The 23,586-nt window shown below is 43.5% G+C and overlaps 2 protein-coding genes across 19 annotated transcripts in view, besides 1 other annotated feature; one reads left to right on the top strand and one right to left on the bottom strand.

Moving 5' to 3' along the window:
* Positions 1-9,609: 9,609 nt before the first annotated feature.
* The window catches only part of DYDC2 (DPY30 domain containing 2), a 23,329-nt gene continuing 9,352 nt past the window's right edge, over positions 9,610-23,586 (bottom strand). The window contains exons 1-5 of one of the 8 annotated variants that reach the window (NM_032372.6): positions 20,858-20,902; positions 19,638-19,790; positions 15,093-15,248; positions 14,610-14,732; positions 9,610-10,995 (exon numbers count right to left, since the gene is read on the bottom strand). In NM_032372.6, coding sequence (NP_115748.1) covers positions 10,732-10,995; positions 14,610-14,732; positions 15,093-15,239 — 534 coding nt within the window. In that variant the 5' untranslated portion in view covers positions 15,240-15,248; positions 19,638-19,790; positions 20,858-20,902 and the 3' untranslated portion in view covers positions 9,610-10,731. Of the gene's footprint in view, positions 10,996-14,609; positions 14,733-15,092; positions 15,249-18,737; positions 18,758-18,783; positions 18,815-19,637; positions 19,791-20,857; positions 20,903-21,086; positions 21,424-23,586 lie in introns of those variants that run through there. The other 7 variants (XM_011540270.3, NR_070308.2, NR_070309.2 and 4 more) reach the window with 7 other exon arrangements.
* Positions 14,223-14,407: a silencer, noted in NCBI's record as "fragment chr10:82123032-82123216 (GRCh37/hg19 assembly coordinates)". NCBI's record gives its function as "represses an EF-1alpha promoter that drives an FKBP-Casp9 reporter gene in an ReSE screen in K562 erythroleukemia cells {active_cell/tissue: K562}" and the evidence as "EXISTENCE:reporter gene assay evidence [ECO:0000049][PMID:32094911]".
* The window catches only part of DYDC1 (DPY30 domain containing 1), a 20,743-nt gene continuing 18,084 nt past the window's right edge, over positions 20,928-23,586 (top strand). For 3 of the 11 annotated variants that reach the window (XM_017015749.2, NM_001269053.2, XM_005269549.5), the window contains exon 1: positions 20,928-20,971. The gene's annotated coding sequence lies outside the window, so the exon portion shown is untranslated. Of the gene's footprint in view, positions 21,331-23,199; positions 23,323-23,586 lie in introns of all 11 variants that reach the window. The other 8 variants (NM_001370157.1, NM_001370155.1, XM_005269550.5 and 5 more) reach the window with 5 other exon arrangements.

The following is a 23,586-nucleotide window of genomic DNA, read 5'->3' as shown; positions in this document are numbered from 1 at the left end:
GTTGGATGTGGTGGTGTGCACCTGCAGTCCTCAGCTACTTGGAGGATCTGAGGTGGGAAGATCACTTGAGCCGAGGAGGTTGAGGCGGCAGTAAGCCTCGATCACCTACTGCACTCCAGCCTGTCTCTAAAAAAATTAAGAATATCACTTCCCTATAGTGGAAAAATTATAGTTAAATATAGAATAACCACTTTCAGGAAGGAATTTGGTTTAATTCCAGGCAGAGCAACTCAATTTTTACTAAGAGCCTCTAGGGAACTTGTCTCTTGTGATGAAACTTGTGAAGTGTGGCTAGATAATTTTATTCCTTCTCCGTGGTACCTGTTCACTCACTGGCTTCAACTCCAGAGAGGTCATTTCTGCCAGAGAGAAAACACAGCACATTTCTTCCTCATGGGCTGCAGGCATATGGCTTTATGAACTCAGTGTCCACTCAGCCTTGCTCCAAACTGCTCCTGATTCCAAAGACATTTTGTCTTGGCTGTCTTTCTCTAAAGATTTTCTTCCTTTGGATAGCGTCTGCCAGGGAACTTCACTGAGTTGCATCCTCTCCATAGATTTTCTGACAGCATTTGCTGGGGAAAATTGCCCTGGCTCAAAGTATTCATTACTTATTCCTCTCCTAAATAATTGCTTGGAAGATTTTTATCCTGATGAATCTTATACTTGAAACTTTTAATCTCCAGATGGCATTATTTGACTAGATATACATACTATTATTTTTGGTGACATATGCTGGGAATTTTGTTCTTTATTTAGGAGCTTTACTCGTGGCGATGAGGATTCTTTTGACATTTTGTTTTGAAGGGATCTGGCAATGGATACAACATGACTGAAGACATGTTCTTCAGAATATTTTCCTATGGAATCACTCTGGTAGGCTTGGCTACTCCCGAAGAGTAATCCTAAGAAACTGCGCCCTGGGGCTTGCCCTTATACATTGGTTTAATTCCTCCTGATTTCAAGATTTGCTTAGTTTTATCATTTCTCATTGAGTCAACATCCTTCAGAATTCGCTTCATTTGAGGTTTCATTCTGAACATCTTGATCTATGGGTATTATTTTTCTGTATAAACATCTGCTCTGGCCAATCCATTTGGTGGAAATTTCTCTTTCTAAGGCCATTTTCTCAGTAATTACGTTCTAAATGTGGTACTGGACATATCTCTTCCAGACCAGAGTTTTTGCGAATTTTCTCTCTGGATTTCTCTGTGAATTTGACTCAAATGCTCCTGAAGAGCCTTGTAGAGAACCATGTTTTGTTCAACCCCTCCATTCTTCACAGTAACCCCCTGAAAGGGCTGCTTGGGAAATTGGGTCCCAGTCACATTTGCCTATTGATAGAAAATGCATTGATGTCACCTAGGGAAATTTTTTTTTTTTAGACAGTCTCACTCTGTCGCCCAGGCTGGAGTGCAGTGGCGCAATCTCGGCTCACTGCAAGCTCCGCCTCCTGGGTTCACGTCATTCTCCTGCCTCAGCCTCCCGAGTAGCTGGGACTACAGGCGCCCGCCACCACACCCGGCTAATTTTTTTGTATTTTTAGTAGAGACAGGGTTTCACGTGTTAACCAGGATGGTCTCGATCTCCTGACCTCATGATCCGCCTGCCTTGGCCTCCCAAAGTACTGGGATTACAGGTGTGAGCCACTGCGCCTGGCCGCCCAATCATCTTTTCAAAAATGAGCTTTAAGGCCTGGCATGGGGGCTCACGCCTATAATCCCAGCACTTTAAGAGGCCTAGGTGGGCAGATCATTTGAGGTCAGGAGTTCGAGACCAGACTGACTAACATGGTGAAACCCTGTCTCTACTAAAAATACAAAAAAAAATAGCTGGGCATGGTGGCGGATGCCTGTAGTCCAAGCTACTCAGGAGGCTGAGGCAGGAGAATCACTTGAACCCGGGAGGTGGAGGTTGCAGTGAGCTGAGATCATGCCACTGCATTCCAGCCTGGGCAACAGAGCGAGACTCCATCTCAAAACAAATAAATAAAATAAAATAAAATAAAAATGAGCTATATTTAAAAAAGCATTTCTTTTTGAAGAGCCTTGTCTTCAATATCTTTGTCCAAGGATCTCAGACTTCCGAGAGACCCTCCTGGGATAATTATTTTGTGGCCAATTTCATTCATGAAATCTCTTTCTTTAGCAATTTCTTTATTTATATTTGGAGACAGAGTCTGGCTCTGTTGGGTGTGATCTTGGCTCACTGCAACCTCTGCCTCCTGGGTTCAAGAGATTCTTGTGCCTCAGCCTCCTGAGTAGCTGGGATTACAAGTGTGCGCTAGCATGCCCAGCTAATTTTTTGTATTTTAGTAGAGACAGGGTTTCACCTTGTTACCCAGGCTGGTCTCCTGAGCTCAGGCAATCTGCCCACCTTGGCTTCTCAAAGTGCCAGGATTATAGGCATGAGCCACCACGCCCAGCCAGCAATTTATTTTTGAGGGAATTTTATAAACACTGATTTTATGCACTGATGGTGACAATTAGGAACATAGAGGAATTTTTCCCTAGCTAACATATCTTATGAAATTGATTTCTATTCTCTAGTAAGAAGTAACTTGGCAAATTAAAAAGAAGCAAACAAAAAGAAACCTTAATTTCTTTTCTTTTTCTTTTTTTTTTTTTTGAGACAGGGTCTCGCTCTGTCACCCAGGCTGGAGTGCAGTGGTGCAATCTCAGTTCACTGCAGCCTCCACCTCACAGGTTCAAGCCATTCTCTGCCTCAGCCTCCCAAGTAGCTGGAACTACAGGGGCATGCTATCACGCCCAACTAATTTTTGCATTTTTTTGTAGAGACAGGGTTTCACCACGTTGGCCAGGCTGGTCTCTTGACCTCAAGTGATCCACCTGCCTCAGCCTCCCAAAGTGCTGGATTACAGGTGTAAGCCACCATGACTGGCCAAAGAACTTAATTTCTATTGGCCATTGCTATGGTCCCCTAAAAATTCATATGTTGAAACTAAATCCCCAACGCAATAGTATTAAGAGGTGGGGCCTTTGGGAGGGGATTAGGTTAGGAGGCCTCTGCCCTCATGAATGGGATTAGTGCCCCTATTAAAGAGGTTTGAGGGAGCCTGTTTGCCCCTTTCACCATGTGAGAACACACTGAAGGCACCATCTGTGAGGAAGGCCCTCATCAGAAACTGAATCTGCTATCACCTTGATCTTAGACCTCTCAGTCTCCAGAACTGTGAGACATAAATTTCTGTTTAAAGATTACCCAGTCTAAGGTATTCTGTTATAGTGCTCTGATTGGACTAAGATAGCACTCATTATAAGGTTTTTATCTTGGCCAGGCTCACCCATGGAATTTATGTCTCCTGGAGATAACTTTTGCAAAGTTTCTCTTCAGCTAGTTGCATCCATGTAGTTAGTTTCTTCAAACATATGATCTGAAAGTGTTTCATCCTGGCCCATTGAGGCCTTGGAATATGTCCCTAATGGTGACTTGTTGTTGTTGATTGCAGTCTGGCTGATAATAACCATGGGTTGCATCACTGGTGGCAATGACTCCTCATCAATTTATCCCTTCCTGGCATTATAGGTGAACTCTTTCTTTTCTGGTGCCTCTTGTGGAACAATTTTTTTTTTTTTTTTTTTTTTTTGCCTCAACAACCCTTGCCTGTGAACTATATTTCTGCTGATATTTTTGATTGTTTCATTTCACTTTGGATAAACTTATCTACAAGTGAGCCTTTTTTAGACAATGCTACCTCTGCATCCTGTCATTTTATTCCTGGAGATTCTTTTTTGACAGTGGTAACTGAGAAATTTTTTCCTTTCTAATGATACTTTGGAATCAGTATCTTTTTACCATGAGTCTAGAGGACAGCAGACCCAAGAAATCTATGCAGTGCCAGCCCAACTTCTGACCACGGCTCCCAAAGTTCTGCTTTCTGGAAACCTTACTGGAACTCTCTTCCCTCTGTGACCTTTGGACTTGCCTTTTGTTGAAAGACATTGAGTTAGTTTCTTCTTGACAAACGGAACTCAAACATGAAAGCAGAAAGACCCAAAGAGCCTTCCCTTTGCCAATGTGACATGCAGTATGCCTCAGCAGTAAGCCACCCTTGAAAAACTGTCAGCTGAGCACACAGCTGTCTTCATACAAATCACAAATTTTAATCCTTCCAGGAAAATTCATCATCAGTTTTTCTTTGCTGACAAACATCTTCTTATAGACACATTTTTAGTTGATTTAAGCTATTTCATTCTCTCTTATATTCTGAAAATATGTTTGTAATATCATAGCTTTTGTATTTGTTCCCCTAAAGTTGTTCTTTTTAATTCCTTTACTAAAGGTAGAAAGGGGTATTTATTTTTCCCATAGGATATTATTCCATCATTTGAAAACAGATTTGTAATCTGCACAAAAATATAAGAATGATATCACTCAGTACTAATTGGTCAAAAGGACGTTTTTACTGGGAGATATATTCTGTCACTGGGAAGAACTTTATAAATTTTATCACTTGTATTGTTATAACAGTGTGTCTAAAGTATCTAATACGAATTTTTGAAATATCTTGTTTGGGGCCGTAAATGCTTAGAGAATTGTTAATTCTGGCTGGTAATCGAGACAAATAAAATATGCATGAGTAAGCTTAAATGCTTCTGTATAACAATGGTTATTTGAAAGCTCTGTGAATATTTCATATCATCTAAGAGGCAAGAAAAAGACTGTAATCAACTTGCAGCAAAACGTCCCTGAACAGGGAAAAAAGACTTTCTTTGTTAGATTGTATTAATTAGGACAGCCCAGCAGCCAAGCGTGTGGGCCCGTAACAGGCAGACGTCAGTGCCACCTCCTGGTGTCTGCCCTTGGCCCAGCCATTAATTTCTCTGAACCTTAAGTGTTTTCTCATCCATAACATGGGGATTATGAAAGTGTCCAACTCATGGGGTACTGTGAGAATGAAATGAGATAATGCAATTAAGCACTTAGCACAGTGCTTGGTACACGTTAAACAGCCAAATATGTCAGTTACCTTTATTGAAAACTAACATAAACTTTTTCTTTTTTTCTGTTGAGAGACAGGGTCTTCCTCTGTTGCCCAGAGTGGAGCAGTGGTGCAGTCATGGCTCACTGCAGCCTCTACCTCCTGGGCTCAGGCCATCATCCCACTTCAGCCTCCTAAGTAGCTGGGACCACAGGTGCATGTCACCATGCCCAGCTAATTTTTAAATTTTTTGTAGAGACAGTTTCGCTATGTTGCCAAGGCTGGTCTTGAACTCCTGGCCTCAAGTGATGCTCTCGCCTTGGCCTCTTGAAGTGTTGGGATTACGGGCGTGAGCCACCTCCTGGCTTAAAATAATCCTTTTTAATAATGTATTTCTTTCTTTTTTCTCTTTTTCTTTTCTTTTCTTTTTTTTTTTTTTTTTGAGACAGTCTCACTCTGTTGCCCCATCTGGAATGCAGTGGCTGATCTCAGCCCACTGCAACCTCCGCCTCCCGGGTTCAAGCAATTCTTCTGCCTCAGCCTCCTGAGTAGCTGGGACAACAGGTGCGCGCCATCACACCCAGCTAATTTTTGTATTTTTGGTAGAGACAGGGTTTTACCATGTTGGCCAGGCTGGTCTTGAACTCTTGACCTTAGGTGATCCGCCCACCTTGGCCTCCCAAAGTGCTGGGATTACAGGGATGAGCCACCACGCCCGGCTAATGTCTGTCTCTTTTCTAAAGCATTTGTAGAGGAATCAACTTGTGTGGTAAGAAGGAGAATTTTCATAATCCCTTTAGAAAAGTGTGGAACATCTGATGAACATGTGCCCTTTGGGGGAAGATGCATTCCAACCAAGACCCTAGCTCTTTGAGAATGGCCTCGATGTTAAACTCACTTCAAAAGCAGCGGTAATTTGGGGGCTAAATTTACTTGGTTCTTCAATTTGCCCCTAAACAAGTGAAAGCTGGGAGCCATTCTAGACTTCTCCCTCCCCTCACTGTGGATTCTGTGTCTCTAGCACCTCTCAGATCCAGCCCTCCTGCTGCACGCAGCGCCTCCAGGGCAGTTTCTTCACACACATCCTGCTTACCCTGCAGTGGGACTTGCTCCTGCCTCTGTGCCTCTGCACATGCCCTCCTCCCCCTCTGAGACGTTCTCTGTGGTGTGTCACCTGCCTTCTTTTAGGTCATCATCTGTCCCTGCACAGGGCTCGTGTGTGGCCATTGAGCATCTCCCACATGCTCAGCATTGGGTCTTACTTCTCCTGCCCATCACAGCTGCCCTGAAAGGTAGACAGGATTGGTGAAGAGAGTTGCCAACCACAGGAATTAGGAAGTGAGGAAAATAAGACAGTGTCTCTTCAGTTTACCTGGGAGAGCAGGGTAAGCTTGGCCAGAGCTGAGACTCATAATGGCATCTTACCAAGAGAGGGGAGAAAGGCTATACCCTGAGTGAAGGCACTCATCTCCCTTTAGAAAGAATGTGTCCTTCAGAAAGGGGCAACCCAGGCATTGCCAGTGACCTCTAAGCATTTCCCTGAGGGGATAGGGGAACTGGGCCATTTTTCTTTGCAATTTTCAGTCCCCTGGGAACACTATCCCTCAGTAGAGCTCTGTTGTTACCATCTTGAAATTCTTTATAGGTTCTGTATTTCCATACTGCATTGGGCCCTACAAATTATGCAGCTGTCCTTCTCAGGACACACAAATGCTTAAAAAATGGTTGCTAACAAAAATGATAGCATATGTCCAATAGAACTAAAAGAAGGGCCGGGCGCAGTGGCTCATGCCTGTAATCTCAGCACTTTGGGAGGCTGAGGCAGGCGGATTATCTGAGGTCAGGAGTTCAAGACCAGCCTGGCCAATATGATGAAGCCCTGTCTCTACTAAAAATACAAAAATTAGCCGGGCATGGTGGTGTACACCTGTAATCCCAGCTACTCAGAAGGCCGAGACAGGAGAATCACTTGAACCCAGGAGGTAAAGGTTGCAGTGAGCCGAGATTGTGCCACAGCACTCCAGCCTGGGTGACAGAGCGAGACTCCATCTCAAAAAAAAGAACTGAAGGAGGTACTAACTAAGAAACTAAGGAATATAAATACTTGGCCTCTGGCCTTTAGTTGAAAGACACTGAGGCAGCCACAAGACTCAACCTTTTGATGTCTCTAAGTGGAAACATTCTAAAATCCAGTCTTTACTGAAGGTATGTCTTCCTTTTTTCTTACAGAAGTAATTCATACTCATTGGAAAGATTGAATTATCAGAAAAATTTATAACTGAAAGTCATTGTCTCCCATAATTCCTGCTACTGAGACATCACTATTTTTTTTTTTAACTTTTAAGCTCAGGGGTACATGTGCAGGATGTGCAGGTTTGTTACATAGGTAAACATGTGTCATGGGATTTACCATATAGATTATTTCATCACTCATGTATTAAGCCTATTATCCATTAATTATTTTTCCTGATCCTCTCCCTCCTCCCACCCTTCACTCTCCAAAAGGCCCCCGTGTGTGTTGTTCCCCACTATGTGTCCATGTGTTCTCATCATTTAGCTCTCACTTATAAGTGACAACATGTGCTATTTGGTTTTCTGTTCCTGCGTTAGTCTGCTAAGGATAATGGCCCGCAGTTCCATCCACGTCCCTGTAAAGGACATGATCTCATTTTTTTTTATGGCTGCATAGTATTCCATGGTGTATATGTATCACATTTTCTTTATCCAGTCTATCATTGATGGGTATTTAGGTTGATTCCATGACCTTGCTATTGTGAATAGTGCAGCATTGAACATATGCGTGCATGTGTCTTTATGGTAGAAAAATTTATATTCCTTTTGATATATACCCAGTAATGGGATTGCTGGGTCGAATAGTTTAATATTTCTGTCTTTAGGTCTCTGAGGAATTGCCATACTGTCTTCCACAATGGTCGAACTAATTTAAACTCCCGTCAACAGTGTATAAATGTTCCTTTTTCTCCATAACCTCACCAGCATCTGTTATTTTTTGACTTTTTAATAATAGCCATTTTGACTAGTGTGAGATTGTATCTCACTGTGGTTTATATTTGCATTTCTCTAATGGTCAGTGACAAGCTTTTTTCATATGATTGTTGGCTGCATGTATGTCTTCTTTTGAGAAGTGTCTGTTAACGTCCTTTGTCCACTTTTTAATGGGGTTGAGTTTTTCTTGTAAATTTGTTTAAGTTCCTTATAGATACTGGAAATTAGACCTTTGTCAGACGCATAGTTTGCAAAAATTTTCTCCCATTCTTTAGGTTGTCCGTTTACTCTGTTGATAGTTACTTTTGTTGGAGACAACACTATTAACAGTCTGGTGTTTATTCCCCCAGGAACTTTTCATAGCTTATACTAATACGTTATAAATAGTATTTAGTATTAATATTTCTATTATTTTAGAAAATTGACTACTGCTATGTGTGTTCTGTAACTAGTATTGAGGACAGACTACAGCAGGTCAAGGATGGGTCTAGTTAACAGGCTACTGCGATCACCTAGAGAAAGATGAGTGTGGTTTCGGCATTCAAGTTGTTGAATTCTGACTTTATTTAGATGGAAAGCCAACAAACCAGATGTAGGGTGACAAAAAAAAAGTGCAGTCAAAGGTGACTCCAAGAGTTTTGGCCTGAGCAAGTGGAATTATGGAGAGAAACTGCTTCAGAGAAACTATCAGGGAAAGTCCACTGAGACGAGTTAAGTTTGAGGTGTCCATTGGTCATCCAAGTAGAGATGTCAAGCAGTCAAGTTCAGGGAATTTTGATTAAAGATATAAATCTAAAGTCCTTAGTATATAGATGATATTTGAATGAATGTAGATAGAATGTAATTAAAAACATTTTTTTCAAACCTTTAAGGTTTACTGCCATTTAAGCTGTTTCAAAATACCTGTCATCATTATCAACACAGTGAAAAGGCAACATTTCATTTGTTCACAGCATGGGAGAAAATATTTGCAAATCATATATTTGATAAGGGATTAACATCTAGAATATATGTAGAACTAAAACTCAACAGCAAAAAAAAAAAAATGCAATTAAAAAATGGGCAAAGGACTTGAATAGACATTTTTCCAAAAAAGATATACAAATGGCCAATAAGTACAGACTTAACATCACTCATTATAAGGGAAATGCAAATCAAAACTACAATGAGATACCACCTCACATCCATTAGGATGGTTACTATCAAAACAACAACAACAACAATGACAACAAAATAACAAGTGTTGGTGAGGATGTGGAGAAATTGGAACCCTGTGCACTGTTGGTGGGAATGTAAAATGGTACAGCTGCTGGAAAAAGAATGGCGGCTTCCCAAAAAATTAAAAACAGAATTACCATATGATCCAGCAATTCTACTTCTGGGCATATACTCAAAAGACCTGAAAGCAGGATCTTGAAGAGATATTTGTAGAGTCATGTTCACAGCAGCATTATTCACAGTCGCTATAATGTGAACGTATCCATTGATGGATGAATGCCCATTGATGGACAATGAAATAAATGGATATGCAAAACGTGGTATAAACATACAACAGAATATTATTCCACCTTAAAAAGGAAGGAAATTCTGATACATGCTACAACATGAATGAACCTGGAGGACATTATGCTAAATGAAATAAGCCAGTCACAAAAAAGACAAACATTGTATGAGTCTATTTATACAACATACTTACAGAGTAATCTAAATCACAGAGACAGAAAGAATGGTGGTTGCCAGGGGCTGGGGAGAGAGAGAAATGGCGAGTTATTTTTTAATGGGTGTAGAGTTTCAGTTTTGCAAGATGAAAGAGTTTTGCAGCCGGATGGTGATGATGGTTGCACAAGAATATGAATCTACTTAATACAACTGATCTGTACACTTAAAAATGGTTAAGATGGTACATCTTACATGTATTTTACCAGTTACTAAAATTGAAGAAAAGTATTAAAACATTGATAATATATGTTGAAGAAAAATATCTGCTATCAGTGACATAGGTAGACTCCAGGATATGTGTAAAAAATACTCGGAGAGGCCTGACTGTGAAGTGAAGCAAAAGTTAAGACATGAACACACGAGATGGATGTGTGTTGGGAGGAAAGCTTAGTGTTGGGAGAAAAGTTGAGGCAGGGCTTGGAACATGTCCGGGGTCCAGGATAAAACCCCTTGTGGCCTTTGTAATGTGTCCAGACTTGCTGGCTCCTTGCTTCTAGCACTCCCATTATCTCAAGTAGCCATATGTTTCAAAGAAAATGCTAAACCCTCACAGCTGTAGTTCATTCGCTTGATACACCACTTTCTTTCAACTCCCACATCCTCATCACCTGTTTCTTTGTTTGATCACCAACAAATAGTGTGGGCTTCCAGAGCTTGGGGACTTCACAGCCTCCATACTAGCATTGGCCCCCTGGTCCCACTTTCTCTCTTGACTTGTCTTTTCTCTTTCCTTTGACTCGGCTGGACTTTGTAGCCCCCATGGCCGGGTGTTGGGTCTGATCACCCCAACAGATGTGTTTTCATTGTGTAGTCTCCAAAACGTTGATAAAACAAGAGGAAAAAGTCACAGCCACTTGGTTACTTATTTTAAATCCTTATTCTGAGTTTATTTTATCCTATAACTAGTTCAAATGTTCACATGATTAAGGGTTTTTCAGAAAAGGAGTAGGCTGGAGAGTCCCTGAACTTGCCTTTTACAGCCCCTTAAATCTTGGTTCTAGCTGGCCATTTTCTTGGCTTCTAGCTTTGAGAGAAGTAAATCAGAAGCATCTACCTTCTGTAACCTAAAAAGGAGATTTGGAGCCAGGAGGCATTTCATGAGCAACTTCATGCTGAAAAGCCTCCTTGTAATTTATTTCTTGTGGCATTTTGAAGTTCTGGTCAATCTGGCCAGCAGACTCTGAAGGAGGAACCTGTTGAGGCATTCCTGGAATCAGACTGGAAGTACCTGGCAGGAATTCCTGCTTCAAGGCCTCCTTCTCAAGGGGGTTTGTGTCCTCCTGCATGAATATGGTCTTCTTCGTGGAAACAGTTTCAGAAGTCAGTTCCTAAATAGAAAACAAAAAAGCCGAAAACTTATTATTAGAGACTAAAGCACACAAGATGTATGGCAAAAACACAGTATTGCTATTTTCATGCCAGAGACTAAGAACCAAACTGAAATAGCCCTGCTTTAACAAAGCATAAAACCAAACCTATAGGATCAAGTTGATTCACCAATAATTTAACTGCCTGCCAGAACAAAACCCATCATCTTTTCATGGAAAACAACACAATCTAGACTCCCTATAAAACGTCCTCTACAATGTCCAGAACACAAGTAATAATTACCAGAAGTAAAAAAGTAGGAAAATGTGAACCATAATCTAGAGGAAAAGTATTCAACAGAAAAAGGCCCCAGAATGGGCTGGGCGTGGTGGCTTATGCCTGTAATCCCAGCACTTTGGGAGGCCGAGGTGGGTGGGTCATGAGGTCAGGAGTTTGAGACCAGCCTGGCCAACATGCTGAAACCCCGTCTCTACTAAAAATAAAAAAATTAGCTGGGTGTGGTGGCGGGCGCCTGTAATCCCAGCTACTTGGGAGGCTGAGGCAGGAGAATCACTTGAACCGGGGAGGCAGAGGTTGCAGTGAGCCAAGATCTTGCCACTGCACTCCAGCTTGGGTGACAAAGTGAGACTCCGTCTCAAAAAAAAAAAAAAAAAAAAAAGAGAAAGAAAAAGGTCCCAAAATGACAAAGATGGTGGAATTAACAGACAAGGACAGCTATTATAAATATTTTCAAAAATCCAAGGTAGAAAATGGACATAATGTAAGAGTTAAGATGTATCAGCAGAGAAAATGAGAATTATATTTAAAAAACTAAATAGAAATTCTATAAATGAAAAGTACAATATCTGAAGTGAAAAAATCCACAGAATCCCCAGATAGGATATAGGGCATTGCAGAAGAAATGGTCAGTAAACATGAAGGTTTATCAGTAGAAATTATCCAAACTGAACCACACAGGAAAAAAACAAACAAGCTTCAGTGACCTATGAGACAATATTGAGCAGTCTAACATCCATGTCCCTGGCTGAGGTAGGAATCCTTGGAGCTTAGGCTCTACTGATCCCCTCCACTTCAATCTTTGCCTGGAAGTTGTACAGGTCCATTCTACAATGAGCCCCGTGGAGTTCATCCTTGTCCACATGGTCTCTGAGACCCTTCTACACTTCAAACTATTGAGTCTATGCAGCAAATATCTATTCATTCTATAAAAATACATTTCTAAAACATTTGTATAGTTTAGATCTTTATAAACAATAGTTTTCTTCTGACTCAGAAACAAAATTATGGTTTACTTAAAGCTGCATCTGCTTAATGAAGAGACATCAATACCAAGGATAACCTCTGCCTGACTTAAATTCTACCTCCTCTATGGATACTTTTTGGTTCAGATAATTGGGTATGATCCCTACCATACATAGCATTCTGTTTCTGTTCCTCTTTTGATACATCCACTAGATAAGCACTATTCAATCTGGGATACTTAAAGACTTGCTAACCTGTATCCAAGTCATGATGTTTTTTTGTTTTTTTTTAAAGCGATCAAGGAAAAAACTGCAAAGCTTTGAGTATATGCATATCAGTTCATCAGGTAAACTAGCAGCCCTGCTGAAATTTCATGCAACCCATCCTGGGCCAGTTTGAAATTGGTTTTCCCAGCACTAGTCACACAAAAGGTGAAGGTGACCAATAGCAAGGAGCAATTTGTAATCCACCTTGAATCAATCAGAAACCAGAACTTGGAATCTTGTCTTTTTGATACACCTGTGCCTCTTTGTCCTTTATTTAGCCTTGTCAAAGTTTGCTTGGAGAGTAACTCACATCTTAATGTTGTGGCTCTCTCTTGCCAGGTAAACTATAAATTTGCTTCATTTTAGATCACTCTTGGGTTCTCTTTATTTCCTTCTAACATAGGGAATCAATTTCCATAATCATAACCTACACATGAACTCTTTTCTAAAACTGAGAACTTGCACATAGTCTAGACATTGTGCTTGTTGTCATTTCCCATCTTCCCTTACAACTGCCTACATCACACACTTGGCAAAAGAATGACATACCATTTACTTATCTAAATCTTGTTAAAAAATATTGCTGCAGGATGCAAAACCTCAGTGAAACACAAAAAGACAATTCAAAATATTGATGTGAACCGAGAAATTTTCCTTAATAAAGCTACCATAAAACTAGGGTGAAGTTTTGGGAGTCTTCTTTATATATTTCTTATTGCCTTATATATTTCTATTTCTATTAACAGTAAAGCATGGTGTTAGAAATGGATTAGAGGTGCACAGCAAGGTGATGACAAATTTTGCTGAATGATCCTCACCTCTCCCATCTCCAAACAATTGCTTAAAGAAGGAATTCTTCCTGAGGGAGAGTTCCTTTAGACTATTGTCAAACAATAGAATGAAACTATCTTTTGATTTAATTTATTTACAAGACATCCAGGCTTAAAAAAGCAAATCTATTCTTTATGAGGACATTGAGTATATTAGTATAAATGTAAATAAGCTTAATATTTTCATGTCTTCAAATTGGCTTGGAAGCTAACAAATGCTGGTGAATTGTAATGGACTGCATTAAAGACTTTAATGCACAGAGTATAGTCATAGCTAAAAAGATGTCATATATCAAACCCAACATTGCAATTGAGACGACTCTCTATCCAGGTATCTACCACTTTGTAGAAAGCATAGAATAGCATAAGGCGTTTTTCAGGAGATTGTGAAAAAAACTGTGGGAGGTAAAAGATAGGCTTGTCAGACTGACGAATGCAGAGTTGTCTTCGGCTATTCCAGCTTAATAACTTACATCTAATATTATAACATCACAGAGGAGGCATCTGAAGTTTCACAGAAAAGTAAATAGAATATAATAAACCAAATACTAAATACTAAGTTAAATATCTGAAGTATGCACTGATAACAATCATATTTGGTTTCTGAAAAATACTGAATACTACTTGAAAAGGGCTCAAAGGATCTTATATGAAAAAATATTTGTTCCAAGTGAATAGATTTTTTAAAAATCAGATTTTTTGGCTGGGCGTGGTGGCTCACGCCTGTAATCCCAGCACTTTGGGAGGCCGAGGTGGGCAGATCATGAGGTCAGGAGATCAAGACCATCCTGGTTAACATGGTAAAACCCTGTCTCTACTAAAAAAAAAAAAAAAAAATTAGCCGGGCGTGGTGGCATGTGCCTGTAGTCCCAGATACTCGGGAGGCTGAGACAGGAGAATCACTTGAACCCAGGAGGCAGAGGCTGTAGTGAGACGAGATCGCTCCACTGTGCTCCAGCCTGGGCAACAGAGCGAGACTCCATCTCAAAAAAAAAAAAAAAAAAAAAAAAAACAGATTTTTTTTAAAACCAGTAACACCAGAGTATTTCCTAAAATCTAAGACAAATTTGTCTTTTAACATCTCCTTTTTTCATTAACAAAGATTGTCAATAACATTGGTTTATATGCAAATATGTGAATACTTGCACATATATTGAAAATCAAGCTAAAGGGACCCTTAATGTGCCTTGGATTGGGACTGGGCTGACTTGTGGCTTTCCTGGAGTCCATCACTGGGATGTGTGTGGCAACCCAAAGCTGAGTCCTTCTCCCTACCTTGTGACACTTTTCACAGTTCTGTTGAATCTGATACTCTTCCTGTTTCAGCATTTCTGTCATTTCCATTTCCTTGAGGCTACTGTCATATTCCTCCTGCAGGTGGATCTTCTTTTCCCTATTCTGGGGTGAGGTGACAGAGTCAAATCAGGTCAGCAACCAGGGAAGCCTTATAAACGGGGCCCCCTCACTGGGGACTGATATGGGCTGTGGGCTCTTTGGGCCTGTTGAGTTTCCTCTTGTAACTAGCTTTAGCCTGCTAGTAGTTACAAACCCTTCAACTCCACAGCTCGTCTGAGTTGAAGCTCCACTCCTCTGAGTTAGCCCCCAGGATCCCCATGCTTCAGGGATATCTGGCTCTAAGAGCAAGTCAAATAAACCAAGAAATTCCCCAGGCCAGCTCCAGAATCCTGCCTTGTGTCTTGGCTTTCAAATTACTCTGGGAAAGCTGGGCCCTCCCTAAGTCCCAGTGCACATACACACCTCTTCTTTTGCTTTTGCTGTTTTCCTGTAATGATAAAGCCAGTGAGCCAGGTATTCTATTGGGTCACTGGGCCGAACCTTCGCCACCTCTGCCAGTGCCTGGGCCAGGCAATTTCCAAAGCACCTCTTCAGGTAGTTAGTTTCCATCCTGGCAGCCTGGAAAACATCAAAACAAAGTCACACTATTTTACAAACTTAATCTGATATTAAAAATAGACACATTCTAACCAATTCAGATTTATTTCAGGATAAATATGAGATGCTTCTGGATCACACCTTTCCCAAAAGAACCAACAAACACTTACTTGCTGTTATATTCAGTGGAGGATTGTGCCATGAAACAACCTAGGACCTGGCCTCCTCCTGACGGAGTCCATATTCCTGAAGTTGACACATTTTAATTCCAAAAGAGCCCAGCAAATAATAAAAGCTCAGATCTAGCCTTAACATTTTCTGGAGGCATTTTTCAATTTGTCCCCCTACTTCTCATATTTTAGCTTAAGGAAGGAAAAACAAGTAGACAGATATCCATATCTATCTTATACATATCTATCTTATGGACATAGGAAAAAATATTTCCTAGCTCTCTCCACTGCAAGGGCCTTGAAACCAAAACACTTCAGTAGCAATGAGCACGCTAAGCATATAAACCTTGCTTGTAAATAGCCTTCATCACTTAAGAGGAATCAGGGCTCCTTGGAGAAATGGCTGATTCCAAGGCTGGGGCAGGACAAGCCTAACGAGCCTGGAACATTTTGTTGTGCCAGAAAGTAAGAAAATTCTAAAAAATACAATCGTTGGGGACAGAGAAGCCAGCTTGAAGGGGCTCCTACTAGTCAAATCTGGGGCAGTTTGACCATTAAAATAGTGACTGTAATGGATTATAACTTACAGAATAAAATAAGAATCCATGAGTCCATATGAGAATATATAAGTAGATTAAGAAGGGAGAAGGCAAAGTTCTTTGTTAAAGTAGAATGCCAACTAATAAATGTGGGGAAAATAATGGAGTTTTAAAAAACTGCCATTTCCTCACCACCATAGTATAACTGAATCAAAGCAGGATCATCAATGAGTCAATGAGTGCTAAACCTGGGTGATCATTTGACAAGGAATAAGATATATGCATAGTCTCAAAGTTTCTTCTCACAAATTAAGTATTAATTCCAAAGGAAATACAGAAATTTTACAGTGGCAAAACCTGGCCAACAAAACCTTAACCAAGTAATCAAAGTAAACATCACCAACAAAGGAACAAAGTGACATCAACTGCCTCCTGATGTGATGCACTTCTTATGGTACATAAAACATTTCCGTGGATTCCTGCCTAAAATGCAATATTTGAATGTAATTGAAGAAACATCAAATAAATCCAAAGCAACTACCCTGTACTCTTAAAAATGTTGAGGGTATGAAAAAAAAAAGAGTAACTGTTATAGATCAAAGGAGATTGAACAGCCATAATAACTACATGTAACACATGATCCTAGATTGGGCCTGGACAAGAAAAAATAATTCAGCTGGGCATGGTGGTGCACGCCTATAAATCCAGCACTTTGGGAGGCTGAGGCAGGAGGATCACTTGAGCTCAGGGGTTTGATACCAGCCTGGGCAACAAGGCAAAACCCTGTCTCCACAAAAAATACAAAAATTAGCCAGGTGTGATGGCACACACCTGCAGTCCCAGCTACTTGGAGGGGTTGGGGGCAGGGCTGAGGTGGGAGGATCACTTGAGCCCAGGAGGTTGTGGCTGCAATGCGTTGAGATCTCACCACTGCACTCCAACCTGGGTGACAGAGCGAGACCCTGTCTAAAAAAAAAAAAAAAGAAAGAAAGAAAAGAAGAAGAAAGAATTCTATAAAGGGCATTGTTGGGAAAATTGGTTGAACTGAATGTGAAATGTAGATTATGTGACATAATTTATCCAAGTTAAATTTCTTAATTTTGAATAATGGAAATATGAGTAAGAGAATGTCCTTGTTCTAGGGCTGAATAATGGCTCCCAAATGTGTCTATGTCTGAATACCTGGAAACTATGAATATGTCACCTTAAATGGCAAAAGAGACTTTGTAACTGTGATTAAATTAAGGATCTTGAGATAGGGGGATTATCCTGGATTATCTGAGTAGGAACAATGTAATCACAGGTGTCACTATAAGAGGGACACAGTACGGTCAGACAGGGAAGGTGATGACAGAGCCAAGGGAGAAAAAGCGATGTGATTCAGGGCCTTGAGCCAAGGGTATCCTCTAGAAGCTGGAAAAGACAAGAAAATGGATTCTCCCCAGAGCCTCCTGAGGAACCTGCCCTGCTGACACTTTGGTTTTAGCTCTATAAGATTCATTTTGGACTTCTGACCCCAAGACCTGTAAGGGAATTAAAAAAAAATTGAGTGGGGTAGTGATGGAGGGTGGGGACAGAGGTGGGTGGTGTCTCCTGCCAATCTGTGTGGCCCACTTGAACCAATGCATTTGGATAAACAAACTTCTACACCCCTCTTACTCAAAGCTAGTCTGACGACAGATGACCAGCAGCATTCCATCACCTGGGTGAGAGGTGACAGCGTGCTGGCAGCCCTCTCTTGCTCTTGGCACCTCCTCGGCCTTGGTGCCCACTCTGGCCATGCTTGAGGAGCCCTTCAGCCCGCCGCTGCACTGTGGGAGCCCCTCTGGGCTGGCCAAGGCCGGAGCCGGCTCTGCTTGCAGGGAGGTGTGGAGGGAGAGGCGCGGGCGGGAAATGGGGCCGCGTGTGGCACTCGCAGGCCAGCGCAAGTTCCGGGTGGGCGCGGGCTTGGTGGGCCCCGCACTCGGATCAGCCGGCCAGCACTGCAGGCCCCAGGCAGTGAGGAGCTTAGCACTGGGCCAGCAGCTGCAGAGGGTGTGCTGGGTCCCCCAGCAGTGCCGGCCTGCCAGCACTTTGCTCGAATTCTTGCCGGGCCTCTACTGCCTCCCCACGGGGCTCCGGACATGCAGCCCGCCATGCCCGAGCCTCCCCCGCACCGTGGGCTCCTGTGCTGTCGGAGCCTCCCTGATGAGCGCCACCCACTGCTCCGCGGTGCCCGGTCCCATCGACCGCCCAAGGGCTGAGGAGTGCGGGCACACTACGTGGGACTGGCAGGCAGCTCCGCCTGCAGCCCTGATGCGGGATCCACTAGGTGAAGCCATTTGGGCTCCTGAGTCTAGTGGAGACTTGGAGAATCTTTATGTCTAGCTAAGGGATTGTAAATACACCAATCAGCATTCTGTGTCTAGCTCAAGGTTTGTAAATGTACCAATCAGCACCCCGTGTCTAGCTCAAGGTTTGTAAATGCACCAATCAGTGCTCTGTGTCTAGCTAATCTAGTGGGGACTTGGAGAACTTTTGTGTCTAGCTCAAGGATTGTAAACACACCAATCAGCACCCTGTCAAAATGGACCAATCAGCTCTCTGTAAAACAGAGCAATCAGCTCTCTGTAAAATGAACCAATCAGCAGGATGTGGGTAGGGCCGGATAAGGGAATAAAAGCAGGCTGCCTGAGCCAGCAGCTGCAACCTGCTCTGGGTTCCCTTCCACACTGGAAGCTTTGTTCTTTTGCTCTTTGTAGTAAATCTTGCTGCTGCTCATTGTTTGGGTCTGCACTGCCTTTATGAGCTGTAACACTCACTGCAAAGGTCTGCAGCTTCACTTCTGAAGGGAGACCAGCAACCCACCAGAAGGAAGAAACTCTGAACACATCCGAACATCAAAAGGAACGAACTCTGGACACGCCGCCTTTAAGAACTGTAATACTCACTGTGAGGGTCCACGGCTTCATTCTAGAACTCAGTGAGACCAAGAACCCACCAATTCTGGACACATTGGGACTTGTTGAGATGCAGAATCTCAGGTCCCACCACAGATTCAGAACCTGCATGTTAATAAAATCTCCAAGCGACCTGTAGTTACCAATCTACTTTGCCTGGATCACTGTAGAACTGTCCTTCCCCGAAGGCAGAATCACCAACTCTGCATTCTCTAGTCAGGGGGTGGCTGCCACACTGGTTACATGTGGCAAGCCGTATTGGCATACCTCCCCCTACTCTAAATTGCCCATTTTCAACAATGATCTGAAGGAAATGTGTTTGCCCAACAGTCGCTAAAATATGGTACAAAGACAGTAGAGCCAGCATAGAGCCATAATCTGAGGGCTGGAGGGGAAGGAGTCAAGGGGATGCCTTTTATTTTTTATTTTTAAGAGAGAGCCTTGGTCTGTCGCCCAGGCTGGAGTGCAGTGGCACAATCTCGTCTTACTGCAATCTCTGCCTCCTTGGTTCAAGCAATTCCGCTGTCTCAGCCTCCTGAGGAGCTGGGATTACAGGTGTGCGCCACCACACCTGGCTAATTTTTGTATTTTTAGTAGAGATGGGGTTTCTCCATGTTGGCCAGGCTGGTTTTGAATTCCTCACCTCAGGTGATCCGCCCACCTCCGCCTCCCAAAGTGCTAGGATTACAGGCGGTGAGCCACCGCGCCTGGCCAAGGGGATGCCTTTTAAAGCCCACTCAGACCAACTTAGGGTACACTCACCAATGGGGGGAGAGGCTATTTTTCAGTGTTTCCCAGAGCTCCTCTGAGGGTCTGCTTACACAGTTCCTGGACTTGCACTCAGTAGGCAAGGTGATAAGAATAGGGGTTGTCTTTGTTTACTGTATACCGCCCACGCTTGGCACACTGGGAGCTCTGTAAATATTTCTTGACTTATTCATTGAGAGAGTTCTGCCACCTGCCCTCATGCTTCCCTTTGATTTTTCCACGCCCAATCTGGCATTTACTAGCTCAACTAACATCTATTAAGGCCTCTCTTGCCTGGCACTGCCCCGCCCATAAGCTGAAAGAGAGCACAGGAAAGGCTAGCACATGCACAGACGACTAGGCCAGGGAAGACTGCAAGGGTTTGGGCCTGGTGGAGACTGGACGGCTTCCCGGTGGTGGGGCACCCGAATTGGTTCTGAAAGGAACCAAGCAGAGGTCACCAGCAAGAGCAAAGGTGCAGAGTTGTGAAACTGCCAAGCTATTAGCAGCTTGCAGTGACGGTCTTCCAGGGACTCTGGAAGGTCTTCCACCCTTTTCCGATTGGCTGCCCTTCCTGGTTCCTCCTCAAAGCCCGCCACCTCTTTGTCTCTCCCAGAGCATGCCGGGCTGCCAGTCAGGGTCCCTTGCTCTTTTGTGTGCCCCTACTCCTCCAGGTTTCTGTGTAGCAAGTCTCCTCGGCTCACCCACCCCGCGCGCCTCCACATACGCCTTTCCTCGACCCCTCACGAGCACACGCCCGTCCCGCGTGCCCGCTCCTCTCTGCCTCCCGCCCCGATCCTACGCTCCCCCTCCTCCCTGGACCCCGCCCCCTGGAGCGCGCCCGCTTCTCTCTGCCACGCTCCCCTTCTTTCATTCCCTCTCCTCTCTGCCCGTTGCCCCCTCGTGCGCGCTCTCCCTCCTGCACACCGCCTCATCTCTGCCGCAGGCCCGACTCCTGAACGCCCCCTCCTCTCTGGCCCCCTCCCCTGGCGCGCGCCCCCTTCCGCACGACCCCTTCTCTCTGCCGGGCGCCCCGCGCCTGCACGCCCCCTCCTCTCTGCCGCGCCCCCTCTACTCTGCGGCGGGCTCCTACTCCTGCACGCCCCCTCCACTCTGCCGCGCCCCCTCTACTCTGCCGCGCCCCCTCTACTCTGCCGCCTGCTCCTACTCCTGCACGCCCTCTCCTCTCTGCTGCGCGTTCCCCCTTCGCTGCCCACCGCGTGCCCTCTGCTCACCTATCCGCGCGCCCCTTCCGCTTTGCGGCGCCTACACTGGCTCCTGAGGCGCGAGCTCTCGTTGCCTGGCAACGGGACGCCGCTCCTGGGTGGCGAGCAGGCGCGTGTGTAGGGGTGAGCGCACCGGAAAGGCCCGAACTGTTTTTGGGATTTGTTCCCCTAGCTTCGCTGGGTCCGGCGGGCAGAGGCGGTTCTGACCGTTGGGCCTTGGGCGTCGAGCAGGACTCACCTGAGGCGGAGAGAGGCCGCTTCGCGCCTGGGGCTCCCGAAAGCGGCCAGCTGTCCTCCTGCTCCCCCTGAGCGGGGAGCGCTGCGTCTCCTGCGGGCTGCGGGAGACCCTTCCAGACTCCCGGGTGGGAAAACCACACTGAGCGCCCCGGGAGGTTGCCAGATACAATACTGTATCTGGCACCCCTGCCCGGGTGCCCCCGCCCAGTTGGCTGGCTGGCTGGCTAGCTGTCTCCCAGGTGTGGGTAAGGAATCTCCTTCCATCTCTGTGGCACCTTCTTCACGCTGGAGGCAGCTGTTTCTGTGGGAAAGGGCTTTCTTATGTTGAGCCAAGATGCCTATTGGTGTATGTGAAAAATAACATTGCTTACCACAGGAGAGATGGGTATTATCCTCGTTTCACAGACAGGAACATGCTAAGGGAGTTGGCAGGCCTTGCCTGGGTCCCACTGATATGCCCAGAAATCCGAGACAGAGCCTCCCCTGACCTGGCCCCGCTGGTAGGCCAGAAGTTTTCTCTTTAGGGATAATGGTCCCCTTCCTCCCTTCCCACATTTTATCCTTCTGGAGCAGCAACAGGAGTCTGTGCACCTTTTTTTTTTTTTTTTTTTAACTTCACTTCAAATGACTTTGAGATGTCTGTGTAGCGTTTTGGTCTTTCAGGTATATCCTACTGAAGAAATACAGTGAAGATACTGTGTTCCAAAGTCAGTTGTAATAATTCTTTTCTCTGTATGGTTGAGACACCAATATCAACCTCATTTGGAATTAGGTTCATTTGTGCCAGTTTGTTTTCCGTTTTTAGAGTTTTTATGACTATGTTTACATATACACACATACACATTCCTTTCCCCACTGCTGTTGCTAATACAAAAGATGACAGACCATATACAATTTCAGCACCTCGTTTTCTTTATTCTGTGTCTTAGAGATCACTCTCTAGTTTCTTCATTCTCTTGTACATCTGCATAATAATCCATTGTGTTGCTCTTATTAATCCCCAATTTGATGAACATTTAGATGGTGCTTCAGTGTGACTATTGTAAATAATGCTGCAAATAACTGTGTGCATATGCCATTTCATATTTTTGCAACTATATCTTTGAGATAGGATCCAAGAAGCAAGATTGATGAGTCAAAGGGTGAATGCATATGTGATTTTCTAGATGTTGTCAAATTCTCCTCCATAGGAGTTATACCATTTTGCCCTCCCACCACTGTCATATGGCATATGCACATAGTTATGGCATAAAATTTCAGAGACACTGACATCCTGGGGTTCATCCATAGAATAAAAATTGGGGGTTATGGACGGACCCCAGGATGTCACTGTCTCTGAAATTTTATGCAAAATGCTAGATGCATTTGTCCAGGGACAAGTTTAGACACAGTGGCATTCTATCCCCTGTAATTGCCATGCTCATTCCTATATCAGGGCCTTTCCTCATACCTAGAAGACTCTTCTCTTCTTTGTCGTGTTAATTTTACTGTTTTTTTTTTTCAGTAAATGTAAGCTTAGCTCAAATGTCACCCCCAAAGAAGCTTTTTTTTTACTTTCCTGACTTGATCAGCTACTCCTCTTGTCTGGTCTCATAGTACTTATTTTAACTGCAATTTCATATTTATTGATTTAAATATTTATCTTCCTTTCTCATCTATAAGCTCCATGAAGGCAGAGACTGTTTTTGTTTTAGTTTGCGCTGCTGTAGCAAATTACCAACACTGGGTGGCTTAAAAACAATACACATTTATTTCTCACCATTCTGGAGGCTGGGAAGTCTAAAATCAAGGCATTGGCATTTCTGGTGTCTGGTGAGGACCCTCTGGCTGGTGTGCAGGTGGCTGTCTTCTAGTTTTATTCTCAGATGGCAGAGAGTGAGAGCACGCTCTCCCATCTCTTTTTATAAGGGCATTAATCCCATGCATGACGGCTCCACACTAATGATCTAATCACTTCCCAAAGGCTCCTAATACCATCACATTGGGAGTTAGGATTTCAACATATGGATTTTTGGGGGACACAGATATTCAATTCACAATAGTTTTGTATTCCCAGTACCTATCATGGTGCCTGACCTATAATAGGTATTCTTTTTTTTTTTTTTTTTTTTGAGACGAAGTTTCACTCTTGTTGCCCAGGCTGGAGTGCAATGGCACAATCTCAGCTCACTGCAACCTCTGCCTCCCGGGTTCAAGTGATTCTCCTGCCTCAGCCTTCCAAGTAGCTGGGATTACAGGTATGTGCCACCACGCCCAGATAATTTTGTATTTTTAGTAGAGACAGCATTTCACTATTGTGGCCAGGCTGGTCTCGAACTCCTGACCTCAGGTGATCCACCCACCTCAGCCTCCCAAAGTGCTAGGATTACAGGTGTGAGCCACTGTGCCCGGCAAATATTCATTATACATTTGTTTAACAATTGATTACATTTCATCAGATTCTCAGGAAAAAATATATATATATATATTTTTTTTTATATATGAGACAGAGTCTCACTCTG

Source organism: Homo sapiens, chromosome 10, assembly GCF_000001405.40.
Source record: "Homo sapiens chromosome 10, GRCh38.p14 Primary Assembly".
Classification (NCBI taxonomy): Eukaryota; Metazoa; Chordata; class Mammalia; order Primates; family Hominidae; genus Homo; species Homo sapiens.
The sequence above is the reverse complement of the archived record's forward strand: the minus strand, read 5'-3'. Positions and strand labels throughout refer to the sequence as shown.